The sequence below is a fragment of the Homo sapiens genome, chromosome 17 (genome assembly GCF_000001405.40).
Source record: "Homo sapiens chromosome 17, GRCh38.p14 Primary Assembly".
In the NCBI taxonomy this organism is placed as follows: Eukaryota; Metazoa; Chordata; class Mammalia; order Primates; family Hominidae; genus Homo; species Homo sapiens.
Window position 1 is genome coordinate 62990529 of NC_000017.11, and position 22371 is coordinate 63012899.

The window sequence follows — 22371 nt, forward strand, 5'->3', positions numbered from 1 at the left end:
CCACCTTGGACCCCCAAAGTGCTGGAATTACAGGTGTGAGTCACTGTGCCCTACCATGATTTTTATTTTTTAAAGACGGGAGCATCTTGAAATGCTGATAGAAATAGCTATTAAAGGATGAGTTTCAAAATATAGAAGTCAAAATATAAGAGGTTCCTGGGTGAATGAGTGGGAGTGGGATACAGAGCAAAGGTAGATAATTTGACCTCAGAGAGAAAAAGGAATATGTCTATTTTAATAGGAGGAGAGGGTGTGTGTTAATGGGCTTAGGTCTGTAGGTTTGTTGGTGGGTAGTTGACAGAGTTCTTTCTGATAATTTTTATGGCATGTATTTTTCTTTGTGTTATGGAAGCTGAAAATATGGGTTGAGAGTGATGCAAAGAAATGAGGTCAGAGAATGTTCACAGGGAACTGACTAAAAAAGCAGTAGATTGCTAAGAGGTGAAAAGGGTCAGTTGAGATTTGCAAGCATAGATTTCTGACATATTTGGTATATCACTAACTAATATGACTTTTTTTAACAGTGTTCAGCCGCCTTGGTATAGTTGGAATCAGCTTGAATTTTGATTTGTATTTTATGTGGAATCAGAGAGCAAAGGGGCAAGGGAGTTTGGGGGTTTGGTGGGAGAGTGATTGAAATGACAGATCATTTTCTTGTGGGAAAAATTAGTAAATACAAAATAATATTAAAAAAACAAATGAAATGATGAATTTTATGCATGTTTTATGCATGTTTTCTTGTGCTGTTGCATGCCAAGTTTGACCCTCTGCGTGTGTGGGTTCTGTGTCTGCCAGCCATGGATCAAAAGTATTAAAACTAAGTAGATAGGCCGGGCAGGGTGGCTCATGCCTGTAATCCCAGCACTTTGGGAGGCCAAGACGGGCGGATCATGAGGTCAGGAGATCGAGACCATCATGGCTAACACGACGAAACCCCGTCTCTACTAAAAATACAAAAAAATTAGCCGGGTGTGGTGGCGGGGGCCCGTAGGTCCCAACTTCTCGGGAGGCTGAGGCAGGAGAATGCCGTGAACCTGGGAGGCGGAGCTTGCAGTGAGCCAAGATCACGCCACTGCACTCCAGCCTGGGTGACAGAGCGAGACTCCGTCTCAAAAAAAAAAAAAACAAAAAAACAAACAAAAAAAGCTAAGTAGATAATACAAATAAATATAGTATAAGTATTTACATAACATATACATTGTATTATGGTTATAAGAATCTAGAGCAAAAACAAGTGAAATGATGAATCCAGGATTCCAGTTGAGAGAGAGAGGAATTAAAGACCAGAGGAGACTGACTAGGACCCTAAAGCCTTGATTTTCATCTCATTTATTGAAAGCACTTCTTAATGTCTGGATGGGTGGAGTGGTGGAGGGGAGTTTTACGCACGGTTTCTTGTGTTGTTTCATGCCAGGTTTGACCCTTTGTGTGTGGGGTTCTGTGTCTGCCAACCATGGATCAAAAATATTAAAAATAAGTAGATAAATAATGCAAATATAGATACGTATTTACATAGCATTTACATTATTAGGTGTTATAAGAATCTAGAGATGATTTAAGGTATACAGGAGGATGTGCATAGGTTATGTGCAAACACTGTATCATTTTACGTAATAGACTTAAGCATCTGCAGATTTTGGTATCCATAGGGTGAGTGTATGGGGCAAGTGTGGGGCTGTCTTAAAATGAATCCCCAGCAGATACCCAAGGATGATTGTATGCGCTTATCTTTCCCTATAGCAATCTAACTAGAAACCTTTAGGGTTGCATAGACAAGATTGAGTATAAGATTTATGTTTCTGTATCCCTTGCATAGCCATGGCCCATCCCAGTGTAATAGTTCTTATGTGATATGTTGTGAGATTCTGCTGTCCTCTGAACTCTTCAGACATGGTATAAATTTTTGATCAATGTATAAAGTGTCTTTTTGTCATAATGAGTATACTATTAGTCCAGTATTTTTTGTTTCACTGATTTGTTAAATGATATGGAATAACTTACTGTAAGAAAAAGTGTAGAGTCATTTCAGTGCCAAATAAAAAATTCAGGTGTTTTTATTGAGAACTGAGAACTTTACTCTTACATATAAAAAGATACATATAATACAGTAAATGATTCTTAAATAGCAACATAGCATTTGGATCACCACATTAATAGTGTGACAACTCTTCATGCTTTTATAGACACTTGAGACATTGTTATATGCTTCTGTAACATATGACATATGTAACTATGTTATACATGTTGGCTACTATTATAATTTGTTTCCTATTGCTGCTGTAACAAATTTCCACAAATTTAGTGGCTTAAAACAACACAAATGTACTATTTTAATACTTCTTACAGTTCTGGAAGTCAGAAGTTTGAAATGAGTTTTTTATGGGGCAAAAACTAATGTTTTGGCATACCTGTGTTCCGTCTGGAGACTCTGGGAGAGAATCTGTTTTTTACCTTTTCCAGCTTCTGGAGGCCATCTGCGTTACTTGGCTTGTGGCTACATTGCTCTGATGTCTACTTTGGTCATCACATCTCCTCTTCTGATGCTTCTACTTCCCTTTTCCATTTTTTAATGACATTTGTGACTACATTGGGTCTGCCTGGGTAAAATTCAGGAAAATCTCCCTATTTTAAGGTCCTCAACTTAATCACATCTTCAGAGTCCCTTTGCCATGTAAGGTAACATTCACAAATTCCAGAAGTTAGAATGTGGTCACCTTTGGGGAACCTCTATTGACTTGGTTTGATTTTGTTCTTGCTTTTTAAGTTTTGGCTATTCTGGGTCCCTTGCCGTTTCCACATTAGTTTTTAGATCACTTTCTCAATTTCTGAAAGGAAAGTAGCTGGGAGTTTGTTAAGTATTTTGTTGAATCTACAGATCAATTTGGAGACTATTGCCATCTTACCATTAAGTCTTTCAATCCATGGACATGGATGTCTTTCCATTTAATTAGGTCTTCCTTAATTTCTTTCAGTGATGTTTTATAATTTTCAGTGTACAAGTTTTATACTTTTGTTAATAACAATTTTTTATTCTTTTTGATGTTATTGTAAATGTATTTTTTATTTCATTTTTGGATTGTTCATTGATAGTCTAAAGAAATACAACTAATTTTTCAGGCCAGACATAGTGGCTCATGCCTGTAATCCCAGGAATTTGGGAGGCTGAGGCAGGAGGATTGTTTGAGGCCAGGAGTTTGAAACCAGCCTGGTCAACATAGCAAGACCCCGTCTCTGCAAAAGAAAAATAAAAAAAAATTAGATGTGTTAGCATGTGCCTGTAGTCCCAGCTGCTGTGGAAGCTGAGGCAAGAGGATTATTTGAGCCCAGGAGTTTAAGGCATCAGTGAGCCATGCTCATGCCACGCACTGCAGCCTGGATGAGTGAGAGCCTGTCTCAAAAGAAAAAAAAAATACAACTGATTTTTTAATGTGTATCTTGTGTCCTGCCAATTTGCTGAATTCATTTATTAGCTCTAATAGTTTTTTGGTGTATTCTTTAGGATTTTCTACATATGAGGTCATGTCATTTGTGAATAGAGACTGAGTTATTATTTCTTCCTTTCTAATTTGGATGCCTTTTATTTCTTTTTCTGCCTAATTGCCCTGAATAGAACTTCAAGTACAATGGTGTATAGAAGTGGTAAGTAGAATTTTTTTTTTTTTTGAGACAAAGTCTCACTCTGCCACCCAGGCTGGAGTGCAGTGGCGCATTCTCAGCTCACTGCACCCTCTGCCTCCTGGGTTCCTGGGTTCAAGCGATTCTCCTGCCTCAGCCTCCTGAGTATCTGGGATTACAGGCATGCACCACCACACCTGGCTCATTTTTTTTTTTTTTTGTATTTTTAGTAGAGATGGGGTTTTGCCATGTTTGTCAGGCTAGTTAAATGGATGATTTTTTCTTGTCCAACTTAGGAGGAAAGTGTTCAGTTTTTCAGAATTAAGCATGATGTTAGCCTCAGGCTTTTTATAGATGCCATTTATCAGACTGAGGATGTTTCTTTCTATTTCTAGTATGTTGAGTATTTCTTTTTTAATCATGAAAGGGTGTTGCCTTTTGTCAGATGCTTTTTCTGTGTCTATGGAGGTAATTATTAAAGTTTTTGTCTGTTACTAATTTGGTATATTACATTGATTTTCATATGCTGAACCAACCTTGTATTCCTAGGATTCACTTACCAGTTCTTGAGTTTGAGAAAATTAATCTAGGGTATGGTCATCTGAAGACTCATAGTCTGAGATTTCCCTTAGATGATTAATTTCACCTTTATCAATAGAATCTGGAGTACTGCCATCTGTCTTTTTGCATTCTTCTTCTGATAAAATAATTGTGATACATCTTCCTCTGGAAATATTCTTCTCTTTGACATTTTGGGTAGAAAATGAAAATTCTTGTATTGTTTACTGTGTTAAATGAAGAGCTTTAACAAAGGCTACAAAGCTGATGTGTCATATTTCTTTTATATCTTCTTGAAAGATGATGCAATACTTTGGGCAAAGCAATAAGAAAACTGAAGAAGGATGAAACGGTTATCACTTATTTCATTATTACGTCACTTTTAGATAAATCCATCATGTTTCCATTTTCTTTGGATTTTTTTCTTTCTTTTACAGTTTACATGCATTGTAGAATAATAAAGCCGTTCTTTTCAAGACCTTTTATAAATCCTGTTATCTTGTCTGGCTGGCTCACATTGTTTCCTGGGAAGGCCAGCCTGCAGTGGCTTAGATAGTGTTGACAGTTGTAGTTGGTTTGGAGTGGACGAACAAGGGACATAGTAATTCTTAGCTCATAATGTAAGGATCCAGAATCGGGTGGATTGAGAACTCAGTTGTAAATCTATCTGGAAATATTTGATAAGATATTTTATAAAATACTTGACTTAGTTGAAATTCAGAAGTTAGGCAATTTAGTCTAATGGGGAACAAGGTTGGTGGAGGGTGTTGAGGTAAAGAAACACTGGGTCAGCTAGCTCCCAGTATTGGCCACCAGATGGCCCTGGCAGTTTAGGTGCTGTATGAAAGAGCTTTGAAGGGGTAGAAAGAGAAAGCAGTACATGACCTGATAATAAGTATTGCAAAAATGAGGATTCATAATTGAAGCAGTGCTTGTACTACATACAAGGCTGACTGTGGAACCCATCATCAGTTACTTCCCTTTCTCAAGACTTCTTTGTTAATTGTCCCATTTCCTTCCTTTGCCCTCCAGTCTTGAAAGAGATTGCATAATTTGAAGCTCTTCAGTGCAGTTCAAAATTTTGCTTTTAGGGAAATTATCAAAGATTATCAGCTGGGCATAGTGGTGTGCGCCGGTAGTCCTAGCTACTCCGAGGCTGAGATGGAAGGATCCTTTGAGCCAGGAGTTCAAGACCACAATGAACAGTGATAGCACTGCTGTAATTATAAGAACTTCCAAAGTTATGTCCTAGAATATATCTGAGGCATCTAGCAATTTATCTCAGTCAACACTTAAAGAAGGCCTTTCTTGATAATTATTAGTCCTTCAGCATGCCTTTCACAGAGGAAAAAACATGCAATTTCCAGATGGTGGACAAATGATTTGTCTTTCTTGTATTGGCTTGATCCTATTACTGTATATAACTTTTTTTGAAACAGAGTTTTTACGTTTTCCAGAAGCCTCAAATTCATGCTAGATTTGTGTTTCTGTCTAGTATTCTCATCATTCACACTGTTCAAGCAAACTAAATATGGCCTGAGAAGGACTCCGTACTTCTATATTTGAGTCCTTGTGGACAAACTGTAACCCAGCTTAATAGGCAGACAAGATTAAAAACCTCACTTAGGAGTACGCGCCTGTAGCAATAGCGGAGTCTTAGCAAATCCCAGCAGCCATGTTTCAACCACTCATAGACTGCTGTGTGTTCAAATAAGGCAAATGCCAACCTGTAACCAGTGCAGCTGTTTCTGTACCTCACAGTCGATTTCTGTCCGTCACTTCCCTTTTTTTTTTGTCTATAAATTTGTTCTAACCATGAAGCATCCTTGGAGTCTCCCTGAATCTGGTGTGATTCTGGGAGCTGCCCAATTTGTGAATCGTTCATTGCTCAATTAAACTCGTTTAAATTTAATTTGGCTGAAGTTTTTCTTTTAAGAACACTATTGCATTTGTCATTGGTTGTTTACTTCTCCCAGTATGATTAAATACATGCTCTTTTGAGTTCTTCCATTCTTCTCTATTTCTCTCTTCGTTTTTTTTGAGATTATTTGTGATTGTATTTTTTAGAGCCTCTCATGCTTTCAGCAGATATTCACTAAATTTTCTTTTCTTTTTCTTTGTTTTTTTTTGAGATGGAGTTCCGCTCTTGTTGCCCAGGCTGGAGTGCAGTGGCGTGATCTGGGTTCACTGCAACCTCTGCCTCCCAGGTTCAAGTGATTCTCTTGCCTCAGCCTCCCAAGTAGCTGCGATTACAAGTGCGCACCACCACGTCTGGCTAATTTTTTGTATTTTTAGTATAGATGGGGTTTCACCGTGTTGGCCAGGCTGGTCTCAAACTCCTGACCTCAGGTGATCTGCCCGCCATAGCCTCCCAAAGTGCTGGGATTACAGGTGTGAACCACCACACCCAGCCTCTTTTTTTTTTTTTTTTTTTAAAGAGAAAAAAAGGACAGAGTCTCACTCTCTTTCTGTCACCCAGGCTGGCGTGCAGTGGTGTGATCATAGTTCACTGTAACTTTGAACTTGTGGTCTCAAGCAGTTCTCCTGCCTCTCAGCTTCCTGAGTAGCTGGGACTACAGCTGTGCACCACCAATATTTTCATCGTGTGCATTATTAACCCTGCATCTTATCTGTAATGTTTAAAAAGTTATTGGAAGTGTTTATTAAATGCATTAGTGTGTGTGTGTTGTATTCTCCTGCAGAAATTTCTCAGAGGAGAAGCTCTATGTTGACAAATGCTAGAAAATGGATAGCATTTACTTTAAATATATGTAGCTTACTTTTTATAATTATATGAACAGATTTGTATTCAAAAGGACTCTGAAGGTCATATCCAAATTATTATTGTGGAGAAAATCATAAAAGGAGATTGTATGGATTGACTGGAAAGATAATACTTAGTTCATCATTTGGATCAGTTTGTGGTCATATTTTTATAATTAGAGACTTTAAGACAATATCTTAATGTATTACTTTACATTATTTTCAATTTTCTTACTATTTAAAATATTTTCTTCAATCTTTAAACTATTAAAGCATTTTAATGGTATAATTTATTTATTTGGCATAGTTCTAATGTCAAGAAACTTGTTTCTCAGACTGGAAACCAGGTCAAAAATAAGAATAAGCCAATCCACCACAAAACCAAAAATGAGAATAAAAGTAATATAAAACCATTTAAGCAGGAAGTAGATATAGAAAAAGATATTTTTTAAAAAGCTGGCAAACAGGCTGAGATGACAGAGAATTCAGAACATGGTTAGAAATGAAGATCATTGAGATTCAGGAGAAAGTCAAAACCCAATACCAGGAATATAGGGAATACTGTAAAATGAAACAGGAGCTGAAAGATGAAATGGCCATTTTAAGATCCAGAGTGATTGCATAGAGCTGAAAAACTCACTTCAATAATTTCATAATACAATTGCAAATATTAACAGCAGAATCAACCAAGCTGAGGAATGAATCTCAGAGCTAGAAGACCAGTTCTCTGAAATAACTCAGACAAAAATAAAGAAAAACCAATAAAGAAGAATGAACAGAATCTCTGAGAAATATGGGGTTGTGTAAAGAGATCAAATTTATGACTCACTGGCATCCCTGAAAAAGAGGGAGAGAAAGCAAGCAACTTGGACAACATATTTGAGAATGTCATCCATGAAAATTCCCCCGACCTCACTAGAGAGGGCAACATTCAAATCAGGAAATGCAGAAAATCCATGTGAGATGAATATCCCCAAGACACATAATCATCAGATCCTCCAAGGTTGAACTGAAAGAAAAAAATGTTAAAGGCAGCTAGAAAGAAGGGGTGGGTCACTTAAAAAGGGAACCCTGGTTAACAGCAGACCTTTCAGCAGAAATTCTACAAGCAAGAACAGATTGAGGGCCTATATTCAGCATTCTTAAAGAAAAGAAATTCTAACCAAACATTTCCTATGTAGCCAAACTAAGCTTCATAAGTGAAGGAGAAATAAGATCCTTTGCAGATAAGCAATTGCCAAGGGAATTCATTACCATCAGACCTGCCTTACAAGAGGTCCTCAAGGGAGTGCTAAATATGGAAAAGAAAGACCATTACTGGCCACCACAAAAAACACACTTAAGTACATAGACAGTTGACACTGTAAAGCAGCTATACAGTCAAGTCTGCATCATAACCAGCTAATAACATAATGACAGGATCAAATCCACATATATCAATATCAACACACATAGAGTCAAAGTAAAGGGATGGAGAAAAATCCATCAAGCAAATTGTAAACAGAAGAAAGCAGGGATTCCTATTCTAATTTCAGACAAAGCAGACTGATATAGTTTGGATATTTGCCCCTGCCCAAATTTCATGTTAAATGGTAATCCCCAATGCTGGAAGTGCGGCAGGGCCTTGTGGGAGGTATTTGGGTCATGGGAGCAGATCCCTCATGTCTTGGTGCTACCTTTACAGTAGTGAGTCAGCTCTTGAGAGATGTGGTCATTTGAAAGTCTGTGGCACCTCCCCCCAACACACACTGTCTCTCACTCCTGCTCTGGCCACTTCATGTGGCTGCTCCTGCTTCACCTGCCATGAGTAAAAGCTTCCTGAGGCCTCCCCAGAAGCAGGTGGTGGAGCTGTGCTTCCTGTACAGCCTGCAGAACTGCAAGCCAATTAAACCTCTTTTCTTATAAATTACCTAGACTCAGGTATTTATAGTAGTGCAAGAACAGCCTAATACACAGACTTTAAACCAACAATGGTCAAAAGAGACAAAAAGGCATTACATAATGGCAAAGGATTCAGTTCAACAGGAAGACCTAACTATTTTAAACGTATGTGCACCCAACACAGGGGCACCCAAATTCATAAAACAAATTACTTAGAGACTTAGATAACCAACACAAATTTGTAAGCTTTCTTAAAACATTATGAGATTTTTTTTGTAACTTTTTTTTTTTTAGCTAATCAACTATTATTAGCATCAATGTGTTTTATGTGTGGCCTAAGATAATTCTTCTTCCACTGTGGCCCGGGAAAGCCAAAAGATTGGACATCCCTGGTATATGCCCAAAGCAATGTAAATTGTTCTACCAAAAACGCATGTGCTTGGATGTTCATCATAGCTCTGTTCACAATAGCAACATCATGAAATCAACCTAAATGCTCATCAGCGGTAGACTGGATAAAGAAAATGTATATATGCACCATGTAATACTATGCAGGCATAAAAGAATGAGATCATGTCCTTTGCAGCAACATGGACAGAGGAGCTGGAGGCCATTATCCTAAGCACACTAATGCAGGAACAGAAAACAATTACTTTATGTTCTGACAAGTGGGAGCTAAACACTGAGCACGCATGGACACAAAGAAAGGAAGAACACACACCAGGGCCTACTTGAGGATGGAGGGGTGTGGAAGGTGAGGATCAAAAAATTACCTATTAGATACTGTGTTTATTACCTGAGTGACAAAATCTGTACGCCAAACCCTGTCACACGCATTTTACCAAGAAAACAAATCTGCCCATGTCCCCTTGAATCTACAATAAGTTAAAATAAAAAGCTGGCATTAGAATGGAAATATTAACAGGATGTCATGATCATCAAAATAGTACAGAAGTACTTAATAGTTAATTTGATTACATTATTAATTACATAAACATTTTTATGCATGGGATGTTTTACTTTTTTTAAACAACAGGATAAGAAAAGGGCTTTAAATATACAGGAGGGATGAACATTGAAAATGAAAATTGATTGCCTGTTAATAATATAGCAGAAGAAGACATTGAAATAGGTTGTTGAGTCTCCAGCCTTAGTGGACCATTAAGAAGTCATTACTTCTCCTGAATGGTTTAGAATGAGTGTCACAAACATAAAAGCTTAGGGACCATGTAGATAACATAATGTTCAAATCAGCTAAGTGTAAGAAAATTAGAAATGATTGGGGGCCTGTCAATGGCTTGTTATTTTCCTGTCCAGATATTTCACTTGCCAGGGATGTATCTGATGATTCCTCCTGAGAGAGTGAACATCTTAAAATTTGGATGCAAAATTTGGAAAAGCAGGGTAAAATTTAGATTTACATTAGTGTCAATTAGACCAAACTGCCTTCTCCCACTTAGCTTCAATTTGTGGAATTTCTATATTAATATTTTATTATGATCAGTTTTCTATTGGTATGTTAACTTGAGGAAAATCATTTAATCAAAATGTAACTATGAGATGAGTAGCTTTATGTTTTACTTTTCTATATATTGAAGTAATTAAAAAAGTTTTAGAACTAGCAAAAAAAAAAAAAAAAAACCCTCTATATCTTCAAGAAGTAGCCATCACTATAATTTATGCCACCCACCAAAATATTTTACCTAAATCAACTTAAGTATGTTCTCCTGGTCTTTTTTTGACTCTTAGTAAATTTTAAGTAATAAGTTGCTGTTTTTATGATAATGATAATCTGCACTCATTTTTTTCCTTTCAAAACTTTGAACAACTATGTGTAAATAATCAGAGTTTGAGTTAGAAGTTCTAAGTAAGCCTAGAATATTCTTGGTTTTCCCTCAGATAAAATTTTGAACTATTCCTACAATTTTCATGCCTTTTCTTGATTCCCTGGTACACATTCATTCTAGGTAGTCCTCATTGTTCTGGTTGATTTAAAATCATTTCTCGCTCAATGAAACTTACTTTTATTATGCCCCTTCTTTACTAAGTCAGTAAATCTGATGAATTGTGTCTTTGCTCAGTTTATTTACTCATTCAAGAAATGTTGAGAGCCTACCATGAACTAGGTGTTGTGGTTAAAAAGATTAATAAGACCAGGTTTCCTTTTCGTTTTTCTTTTCTTTTCTTTTTTTTTTTTCTTTTTCTTTCTTTCTTTTTTTTTTTCCAAGATGGAGTCTCCCTCTGTTGCCCAGGCTGGAGTCCTCTGGCAGCTCGCTGCACCCTTTGCCATCCGGGTTCAAGCGATTCTCCTGCTTCAGACTCCCAAGTAGCTGGGACTACAGGTGCATGCCAGCATGCCCGGCTAACTTTTTTGTATTTTTTAGTAGAGACAGGGTTTCACCACATTGGCCAGGCTGGTCTTGAACTGCTGACCTCAAGTGATCTGCCCGCCTCTACCTCCCAAAGTGTTGAGATTACAGGTATAAGCCACTGCGCCTGGTCAAGACCAGATTTCTTTATAAGGGATTTGATATGGACAATGGTATACAAACAAAAATATGTAATTGATAAATTCAGCAAATATTTAGCACTTCCTGTGTATCAAGTATTATTTTCCATTTACAGGGCTGTAGCAATGAATTAAACAGGCATCTTCTCTTCCCTCCTGGAGCTTATATTCTAGTAGGGAAACTGATAAGACAATCAGGTATATAAGATGTCTTTTGGAGGTAAGTATTTGGGGAAGAACACATAAGAAGTTATGGGTGACGGTTTTGGAGCATAAATCATACCACAGAGTTGCCCTCCCCTGGAATTAAGGAAGCTGGTCTTTTGTATCTCAATGATTAATAATTAGTCATTGACTGAGAACCTCTCTAGGGTAGAAGTAGTAAGGCATGAAGCTTTCTGGGCAAGATGGTGCCAGTTAGCCAAAGGCAGTTCTCTGGAGAAGTGGGGGAGCATCTCCAAGCCATTAACAGCTCAGTTATTTACATTTTAAATAGTTTTAGTTATCGCATGTATATCCACTACTTACAGTTTACTGTTAACATTTTATTTTGTTATAATTCATCACATATCTGCCTCTCTATGCCTCCATCAGTCCATCAATCCACCTTATTTTTTGATGCATTTCAAAGTAATAATCTGCAGACATCTATATGCTTTCTCCTATTTAAGCATGAATATCATTAAGTGGATTTTAGCATTTGTTTACATTTTTCATTTGAAAAAAGTAATCATCTTCAAAACATATAGAATATTACCATCATCCTAGAAAGGTTCCTCGTGCCATTTCTAAGTTGATCCCCATATCTACCCCCAAGAGACAACCATTATTCTGATTTTTTTGGCATAGATTATTCTTGAAGTTGGTATAAATGTAATAATGCAATGCATATGCTTCTATGTAAAGGTTCTTTCACTTGGCATATTATATGTTGTGATTTATCTGTGTTGACTGTATGAGTAGTTCATTCCTTTTTCTTGCTGAGTAATATTCCTCTTTGTGAATATCCCATAGTTTATTCGTCTGTTGATGGACACCTAGTCTAGGTATAGGGTATTATAAATCTGTTATGAAAATTGTTGTACTAGTCTTTTCATTATGCATATATGTTTTAATTTCTCTTGGGTAAATAGTAGAGGTGGAGTCATGCATTAGGTGTACAGTAAGTTTCATAATAAACAGCTATATTTTTCTCCAAAGCCATTGTACCATTTTATACTCCTAAAATAGTGTGTTGGAATTTAAATTACTCTTCATTGTGATCAATATTTGATATTGTCAAACTTTTTAAAGTTAGCTCTTCTGGTGGGAGTATAGTGGATAGCTAATTATAATTTGTATTTCTGCAATGACATATAATGTTGAGCCCTTATAATTTGGGTGTGGGTCATTTATATATCTACTTTTTGAAACTACCTGTTCAAATCTTTTACCCATTTGAAAATCGATTGTCTCTTTATTACTGAGTTGTAGGTGTTCTTTATATACAGTAGTCCCTCCGTATCCACATTCCAAGACACACCCCACAGTGGATGCCTGAAATGACAGTACCAAATCCTGTACACGCTATATGCAGTAACTGATCTGATAACCAGGGTGGCTGCTAATTGACCAGTGGTCAGGTGGCATATACAGCTTGGATAAACTAGACAAAGGGATGTTTTACCTCCCAGGCAGGATGGAGCAGGATGGTGTGAGATTTCATCAGGCTACTTAGAATGGTGTGTAATTTAAAACATGAATTATTTCTGCAGTTTTCCATGTAATATTTTTAGACTGCAGGTAACCGAAACCATGGAAAGCAAAACTGCAGATAAAGGGGGACTACTGTATCTTGGATGTAAGTCCTGTGTTATATATGTTTTGTGAATAATTTTTCCCAGTTTGTGGCTTGCCTGTTTTCTTTAATGTTATCTTAGCAGATGTTTTTAAATTTTTAATAACCTCCAAATATATGTTTTTTTAAGTGGCTGTTGCTTTCTATGTTCCTAAGAATCCTTTGTCTACCTGTAAATAGTGAGACAGTCTGTTTTTTAATTTGTTTGTTTTTTTTCAAACTGTACTCTGCTTTCTTGAAGATACTTCCCAGAAACAGTCATGGTATTTCAGGCAGGACATGGGCAGACAATCATTAACAGTGTACAACAACTTTCAGACTCCTTCTTTGATGGACCACCAAAAATCAGAAAGCCACTATAAAACCCATGAAGTCTTCATTTGATGCTCAGAACAGGGAAAGTTTAGAGGGAGGGTTGACATTTCACATTTAGCTGTTGTTTAACAACTTTTCATGAGCCAGCCCTGACTTTCAGGTAGCGAAATGAAAATGGCAAAATTTATCTGAAGATCCTCAACTGCTGCTCTTTTGAGGGGCGCCATCTCAGTGGCATCACTGGAAGGTTCAGATTGCCTGACACACTGGTAACCAATTACTGGGGCTCAGGTCCCAACAGGTGTTTGGGCCTAAGGAGTTAAGTCTGTGCTGAAGGTGGAAAGGGAGAAGAGGACGTAAGAATGAATTTGTTTTTTCATACCACGTGGCATTTGTGCCAAGGTGGCTATGTGTGTCAAAGTCAGGAAATCCTTCTTCCTGGGAGCCAAGAGGAAGTTTCTTAAAACTAGAAGGGAAAAGGTGTTTTCCTTACATCAATCCAGCTTTGGATACATTCTAGTAGTGATATATGCCTCTTCCCCAAAAAGCAACAATGAAGTGTTCTGTGTGCTAACAGCATAGCTTTAAAAAAAAAAAAAAAAAAGGAAAACAAAATTCTGCATTTATATAAAACTTGATAAAAAATAGTATTTCAAACCGTACAGTCACCAGAGGTCCACAGTTGTCAAAAATGCACACACTTCACTTGGTATCTCCGGCAGCTTCAGCTTTCAGTGCCTGCTCTGTTTTGGCATTTCCATTTTCTGCAGGGTTATTCCCCTTACCCGCTTTGGGTACCTTCTTTCCTTTCTTTACCAAGGGCCTTTTTTGGCTTTGGCCCTGGTTTTAGAGGAGCAGGTTTAGCAGACAACCTTGTGGATTTTCTCTGTGGTTTATCCTTCACATTGGCTTTATCTCGTTTAGTATCTATCCCCTTCAATCCTTCTCGTGGGCATGGTGGCATCAGTGGTGGGATGTGGGCACTGATCACAGGGATGCAGTGACTCACGGGCTTTGGTTGATCTGGAGGTTGTTGTTGCCTTCTTCTTCACACTGCTCTGAATTTTTTTAAAAAAAATCTTTATAATTTTAGCTTTTATGTGATGTTTATTTTGAATTAATTTTAATAGCATGATATATAGGTCATTTTTTTTAAAAAATGCATTATCTCTTTGTTTCACCACGATTTGTTGAAAAGACTTTCCTTTTACCTATTAATGACTTGGTCAGAAACAAATGGCCATGTAGTGTAGGTCTTTTTCTGGACTGTCTGTTCTATTCTGTTGATCTACTTGTTAGTACTTCTGTTGATACCATATTCTCATCAACAAGAAAGAGCTGTAGAGTAAATTTTGAATTCAGGTGGTATAAATGCCCAAGCCTTTTTGTTGGTTTTCAACATTGCTTTGGTGTTTTCATTTCCTTGCATTATCATGTGTGCTTTAGAATCAGCTTTGCAATTTCTAAAAAATAACAAAAAAAAAAGCCTGCTGGAATTTGAGACTGTTATCTCTTTAGAACAATTTGGAGAGAAGTGACATTTTAACAGTAAGTATTCAACTTTTCAATCCATGAACATGGCTTATCTCCACTTACTTAGGTTGTCTTTAATGGTTTTTTTTTGTTACTGTTAAGCAACATTGTAGAGTTTTCAGTGTCTTTTGTTAAGGATATTTCTGTGTCTATGTTCATGAGGTATGTTGGTCTGCACTTCTCTTTTCTTATAATATCTGTAAGGTTTTGGGATTAATATCATGCAATACTTATAAAATGTGTGGGGAAGTATTTCCTTTTTCTTTTATTTTCTTAAATAATTTTTATAAAATTGGTGTTATTTGTGCCTTAAAAGTTTGATAGAATTCACTAGTGAAACCACCTGGCTGTATAGTTTGTGTGTGTGTGTGTGTGTGTGTGTGTGTGTGTGTGTGTGTGTGTGTGTGAAGAGTTTTGATCAATTTCTTTAATAGAGATAGGGCTATTTTATATTTTTTGCTCAACATTTTGTTAATTTTGACAAGTTATATTTTTCAAAGAATTTATACATTTTATATTAAATGTTAAATTTGGTATAAAGTTGTTCACAATATCTTATTTTTTAAATTAAGGATCTGAAATGATGTCCTCTATTTCATTTCTGATATTGGTGATTTCTTTTTTCTTTCCTCAATCAGCCTTGGTTTAGCAGATTTAATACTTTTCATAAATCTGATATGTGGCTTTGCTGATTTTATCTGTTTTGCATTTGTTTTCTATTTCATTCATTTTTTTCTTTTTACTCTTTTCCTTCCTTCTACTTTCTTTGAGTTTTTATTTGCTGCTTGCTTTTGAAATTTTTGAAATAGAAGCTTAGATACTGATTTTCATCCTTTACTTCTAATACATACATTTAAGGTGTAAATTCCTTTAAAATCATTGCTTTAGTTTTATCCTATGAGTTCCCATAAGTCATTTTTATTATCATTCATTACAAATATTTAAAAATACCTGTTGTGATTTATTTACTTTGTTCAACTTATGGGTATTTAGAAGTATATCACTTAATTTTTAAGCAACAGGAGATTTTCTAGATTAAAAAAATATTTACTTCTAGCTTAATTGCTTTGTGGTTAGGGAATATACTCTGAAAGATTTCAAAATTTACTGATACTTTATGGCCTAACATATGGTCCATTTTGGTATGTGTTTTGTGTTATAGTTTGTTTTTATTTGGAAGAGAAATTTGCTTATATATATTCAAGTCTAGTTATTTAATTGTGTAGTTCAAACATATCATAGTTTTTTTTTTAAATCTACTTGATCTTGTAGCTATTGACAAAGGTGTGTTGGTCTCCCATGTAACTGTGGATTTGTCTGTCACCTTTTAGTTTTGTATACTTTTTGTTTTAAATGTTTTCAGGCTTTCTTATTGGGTCCATTGATTTAGAATTATGATATCTTGGCTAGATGAGATGGCTCACGCCTGTATTCTCAGCACTTTGGGAGGCCGAGGTGGGAGGATTGCTTGAGCCCAGGAGTTGGAGACTGGCCTGGGAAACATAGTAAGACCCCATCTTTAAAAAAAAAATGAGAAAAATTAGTGGTGTGTGGGAGCTCACACCTGTAGTTCTAGCTACTTGGGTGGCTGGGGTGGGAGGATCACTTGAGCCCAGGAATTTGAGGTTGCAGTGAGCTATAATCACACCACTGTTCTCCAGCCTGGGTGACAACATGAGACCCTGTCTCAATATAGACAAAAGAGTTATGCTATCTTCTTGTTGATAGGACTTTTTAATTATTAAGAAATGCCTTTCTTTAGTAATGCATATTGCCTTAAGTCTACTTTGCCTGATATTGGCATAGTGATGCCACCTTTCTTTTTGTTGGTGTTTGAATGGTATATCTTTTCCTGTCATTTTGCATTCAGTTCATCTATGTTTATAGTCTTCTACTAGAGTGTTGAACATAGTAATGGATATAATTTGAGTTTAAATTATAAACCTTACTATTTGTCTTACATTTATCCACAGATCTATGCTGCTTTTTCTCTTATGTCTTACTTTCTTTGGTTTAGTCAAATGTTTTTACTTATTCTTTTTATCTCCTCAGTTTGCTTTTAATGAATATCCTAGAGATTACTACATGAGTTTTTGAGTTATTGAAGTCTAACATGAATTATTACTTCTCTTCTTGGGTAATACAGATATCTTAGAAACTTCAATTCCATTACCCTACTCCTTCCTTTTTTATTGTTGTCATGCATTTTAAATCTATATATTTTAAAGAACAGCCTATCATTGTTATTTTTATAGTCATTTATTAATACTTAAGAACATATTTACCCTTCCTATGGCTCTTCCTTTTTGCATGTATATGCTTTTTTCTAGTATCATTTTCCTTCTGGTGGAAGAACTCCCTTTTAGTAATAAATTATTTGTTTTTTCTTTTGATTTTCATTTTGCAAAGATATTTTTAAACTGAGAGTAAATTGCTTGATTGGCGCCAGTTTTTTTTTTTTTTTTTCAGAATTTTTAAGTCATTATTTTTTGCTATTCATCATTACTGTTGAAAGTATCTTTCAGTCTGTTGATTCTTGCTACTTTAAATGTGTTTTTTGGGGGTCTGGCTGTTTAAAAGATTGTCTTTAGTTTTTAGCAGTTTGGCTATGATTTGCTCAGTGTTTTTCTTTGTGGTTATTCTGCTTGAGTTTGACAAGCTTCTTTCAGATATGGCTTCATGTCTTTAATTAATGTTAGACAATTCTTGGTTGCTCACACTTCATATATTGCTTCTTCCCAATTTTCACGCTCTTATGAAATTTCAGTTATACATATGTTAGAACTTTTCAGTGGTTCCATATGCATCTAGTACTCTTTTCTATAATTTTTTGTCTTTATCTCTCTATGCTTTGGTTTGGATATTTTCTGTTGACCTGTGTCCCACTTCATGTTTGCTCTATTTAATCTGCTGGACACACCAAGTACTTACAACACTTTTGGGAAATTTTGCTGTTGAGAAGAGTGAGGATATAAGAGCAGTCATTGAATTGTGGTGGAGTAAAGAGTGGGACTTTCTTTTTGAACAAGATAGACTAAAATATGTTCATGTTATGATTGGAATGATTCAGGAGAGAGAAAAAGAATTAAAGCTGTTTGAGAGAAAAGGAAGATGATTTTTTAAAATAAAATTCTTGAGAAGGTGAGAGAGGATGTAATCCAAAGCAGTCAGAGAGTTTTCCTTTGGTAGGAGTGGGACATGGAATAAGCACGGATTCATGCATAGCTGTAGTCTTGTGAGATGGAATTCTGGCTTGACCAGTGGAAATTCTGTAGGTGCTGTAAGTTTCTAGAATGTGTGTGTGGTGGTGGGGGGTGGGGGGGCGGTGTGTGTTTGTGCGTCAGGTAGGAAAATTGTCCAAGAATGGAGAGTCAAGTGAAAGGTAGACAGTATTTATAGCTACCTAATTATGTTTTCTATTGCTCTGCATCCTCAGTGATATCTACCTTTATTTCTTAGGGTGGTCAAAAGTATTGTATTCTTTTAAGGAATTATTTAAATGTTTAATAGTCTTTTTTATCATATAGTTACAGTTTTGTACTATATATTTAAACATAGTTAATTATCTTTTTCTGGTTTAGCACTTTTATTACTTTTTAATTTTCATTTTTAATTATGGGTAAATAATAGTTGTATATATTTATGGGGGTAAACATAGTTAATTCTTTATAATTAATTTTAAATTCTTAGTATTTTGAATAGACAAGTTTTCTTTTTTCTTTTTAAATTTTTATTTGTTTTTACTTTTTGTGGGTACATAGTAGGTGTATATATTTATGGGGTACATGAGATGTTTTGATACAGGCATGCAATGTTAAATAAGCACATTATGAAGAATGGGGTACCTGTCCTCTCAATCATTTATTTATTGAGTGGCAAACAGTCCAGTTGTACCCTTTAAGTTATTAAAACATGTATAGTTATTGACTATAGTCACCCTCTTATGCTATGAAAATAAAGTTTTCTTAAACACATTTTCCTATATTTTCTTTTACAGTTTTGCAGTAGAAGAGTATAACCATGTTTCGGAATAGTCTCAAGATGCTGCTTACTGGTGGGAAATCAAGTCGTAAAAACAGGTCAAGTGGTAAGTGACTATGCTACATTTATTGTGCGTGATATTTTACAAATACAAGTTCTTTTAGGGTCCTGAATTAATGCTGTAACACTTTATTAATGCTTAACTTAGAACTTAAAAGAAAGTTTACATTTCTTTGGGCTTTCATACGCTTTATTAAGAGGTAGGAACACTTGAATGCGTATCAGGAATAGTCGAAAGAAAGGAAAACCTTGTGAAGAAAAATATTTATTTCTAATATATTAGAGAGTAATGTTTCTGTGCATTTGCTTATTAAAAACCTTCTAGACCTAAGTTTATGTTTTTGAATTAACAAATGAAATTATTGCAATCCTAGGCACTCTTTGGGGAAGGAAATTATAAAAATAACTGTCCTCAAAGATTTATACAGAAAGTGAAATATAAGTTGAATTTTTTATAGCCATTAAAATAAAGTTTATGGGTTTTCTTTTTTAGAACAAGGGGTTAAGTCTTAGGCTTTTGAGGTAAAACTATATATACTTCCTTGGTAAAAAATATTGAAAAGAAATGTATTAGAATGTTTGTTTTTTATTAATGAGTGGTAGACTTTTGTATTCTTCGTAATCTTCTCAACTTATTTTTCTGCAGTTTATAAATTTATATTGGTACTGTATTTATTGTCATTGATTTCAAAATGTTTCTGTAATTCCAATTGTGATTTCTTCTTGACCCATAAGTATTTGGAAGTGTATTTACCAGTTTCCAAACTGTTGCTGATTTTTTGTTTATCTTATTGTAAGAACAAACTCCCCTACATTAACAAAAGGAAAACTGTTTTTTCCTCCACTGCTCACACCAACATTTCTGGCCACCAAATATGTGGGTTTTTTTTTTTTTTCCTACAGTGATTCAATTCAGTTCTCTGGTAGACACCAACTGTATGTCCTACAATTCAATTCAATTCTGACGCTGTCTACCCTGAGTTAGCACAGACCCTATGGGTTATGGTCTCAGTCCTACAAGACTGCTTTCCACTTCAGACACCAATTGCGTGTGGTGGATCCCCAGGTTACCCACAACCTCTGTCCGACTTGGCTACAAATCGGAGGTTCCCATGACCCCTTTCTCAGGTTCTATCATTTGTTAGAATGGTGCACACAACTCATGAAAACAGTTTCTTTACAAGATTATTGGCCTATTAAAGAATACAGTTCAGGAACAGTGAGATGGAAGATGTGGGTAGGGCAAGGTATAGGGGAAAGGGCCCTGGGCTTCCATGCCCTTTTTGGGTATGCCGCCTTCTCAACATCTTCCATGTGCTCATCAACCCAGAATCCCATCGAACCCCATCCTTTTGGGTTTTTATGGAGGCTCCATTATGCACATATGATTAATTCATTGGTCATTGGTGATGAACTCAACCTTCAGCCCATCTCTCCTCTCTAGAAATCAGACGGTAAGGCTGACTCTCATGGTAGGCCTCCCTGGCAGCCAGCCCCTGTCCTGAGGCTATTCAGGAGCCCCCAGGTACCTATCATTCGTCTCGTTAGCATATAGAAAACCACTTTTATCACTCTGAAGACTCAGAAGTTTTAGAGCTGTGTGCCAGGAAATGAGCAGAGACAAATATGTTTTTTTTTGTTGTTTTGTGTGTGTGTGTGTGTTTTTTTTACTACGTCATGCTTCTTCTTATTGAATTCTAGCTTAATTATACTATTATCAGAAAATCTATTCTGTATTATTTTATTCTTTTGATATTTATTGAGATTTGCTTTACAGTTAATCATATGGTCAGTTTTGGTGAATGTTCTGAATGTACCTGAAAATAATGTGAATGTCACAGTTACTGGATTCAGTGTGGATCAGTTTTGTTAATGATGGCACTCAAACATTTCATATCCTTACTTAAAAAATTATTTACTGAGAAAAGTGTGATAAAATACCACATTATGATTGTGAATTTTTTTTATTTCTCCTGCTAGTTCCTGAGGATTTTTGCTTTGTATGTTTGGAAGCTGTCTTATTAGGAACATTCGAGTTTAGGATTGTTACATGTTCCTGGTGAATTGACCTTTTTAAAACCACTATGAAATGCCTCTCTTTATTTCTAATAATGTCTTTTGTTTAAAAGTTCATTTTTTTCTCATATTAATATAAGGACTCCAGGTTTTTTTTAATTAGTATTTGCAAAATATGACTTCTTTCATACTTTTGCTTTCAACATTTCTGTGTGCTTATGCTGTTAATAGCATATAGTTGAGTTTTCTTTTCTTTTATTCAGACATTTTTTTTTCTCTTAAGAAAGTCTTTGGTCTGCATGAATTTGGTCAGTCATATATTTGGGTATCTGTGTGCTGTCTACTTGGCCTATCCATTCTATGCTTCTTTCTCTCCTATCTTTCTTTTTCCTCTCTTCCTTTCTTTTGTGTTGATCAAAACTTTTTTTTTTTTTTTTTGAGACAGGATCTCACTCTGTTGCCCAGTCTGGAGTCTAGGGGCACAAACACAGCTCACTGCAGCCTCAACTTCCTTTGCTCAAGCAATACTCCCACCTCAGCCTCCTGAGTAGCTGGGACTACAGGTGTACACCACCACACCTAGCTAATTTTTTTTTAAATTTTTTGTAGAGATGAGATCTCAGTACTTTGCCCAGGCTGTTCTTGAACTCCTGGGGTCAAATGATCCTCATGCCTTGGCCTTCCAAAGTATTGGGATTACAGGTGTGAGCCACCATGCCTGGACTCAAAACATTTTTTATGATTCCATATTTTCCTCTATTAATTTTGAAATTACATACCCTTTTGAAATTTTTTCTGTGGTTACCTAAAGATTAAAACAATACTTAGTTTATTGAAGTTTGATATTTAATTGATATGTTTACCCTCTTCTTGGACAATGCAAGAGCTTTAGATTCTCTTCACCTATCTTTAACCTCCACAAGACATTACTGTTCTATGTAGTCACTGTTACTTAGATATGCCCATATATTTGACCTTTTCATTGATTTTCATTCCTTCCTGCACCCCTCACTTTCTAGATAGAAGTAACTTTATCTGAATAACACCCTTTGTTTTGTTTTATTTTATTTTTAGAGACAGGGTTTTGCTCTGTCACCCAGGCTACAATGCAGTGGCACTATAATAGCTCACTATAACCTCAAACTTCTAGGCCCAAACTTCCCTTCCACCTCAGATTCTGGAGTAGCTAGGACTACAGGTGCATACCACCGCACCTGGCTAATTAAAAAAATGTTTTTGTAGAGATGAGATCTCGTTATGTTTCCCAAGGCTGGTCTTGAACTCCTAGCCTCAAGTGATCTTC

The 22371-nt window shown here is 35.9% G+C and overlaps 1 protein-coding gene across 20 annotated transcripts in view; it reads left to right on the plus strand.

Moving 5' to 3' along the window:
* TANC2 (tetratricopeptide repeat, ankyrin repeat and coiled-coil containing 2) overlaps window positions 1-22371 on the plus strand; it is a 461469-nt gene that overhangs the window by 24294 nt on the left and 414804 nt on the right. For 16 of the 20 annotated variants that reach the window (XM_011524597.3, NM_001394998.1, XM_006721810.4 and 13 more), the window contains exon 2: window positions 19009-19098. In XM_011524597.3, coding sequence (XP_011522899.1) covers window positions 19032-19098 — 67 coding nt within the window. In that variant the 5' untranslated portion in view covers window positions 19009-19031. Of the gene's footprint in view, window positions 1-19008; window positions 19099-22371 lie in introns of those variants that run through there. The other 4 variants (XM_011524599.2, XM_017024429.2, XM_047435735.1 and 1 more) reach the window with 1 other exon arrangement.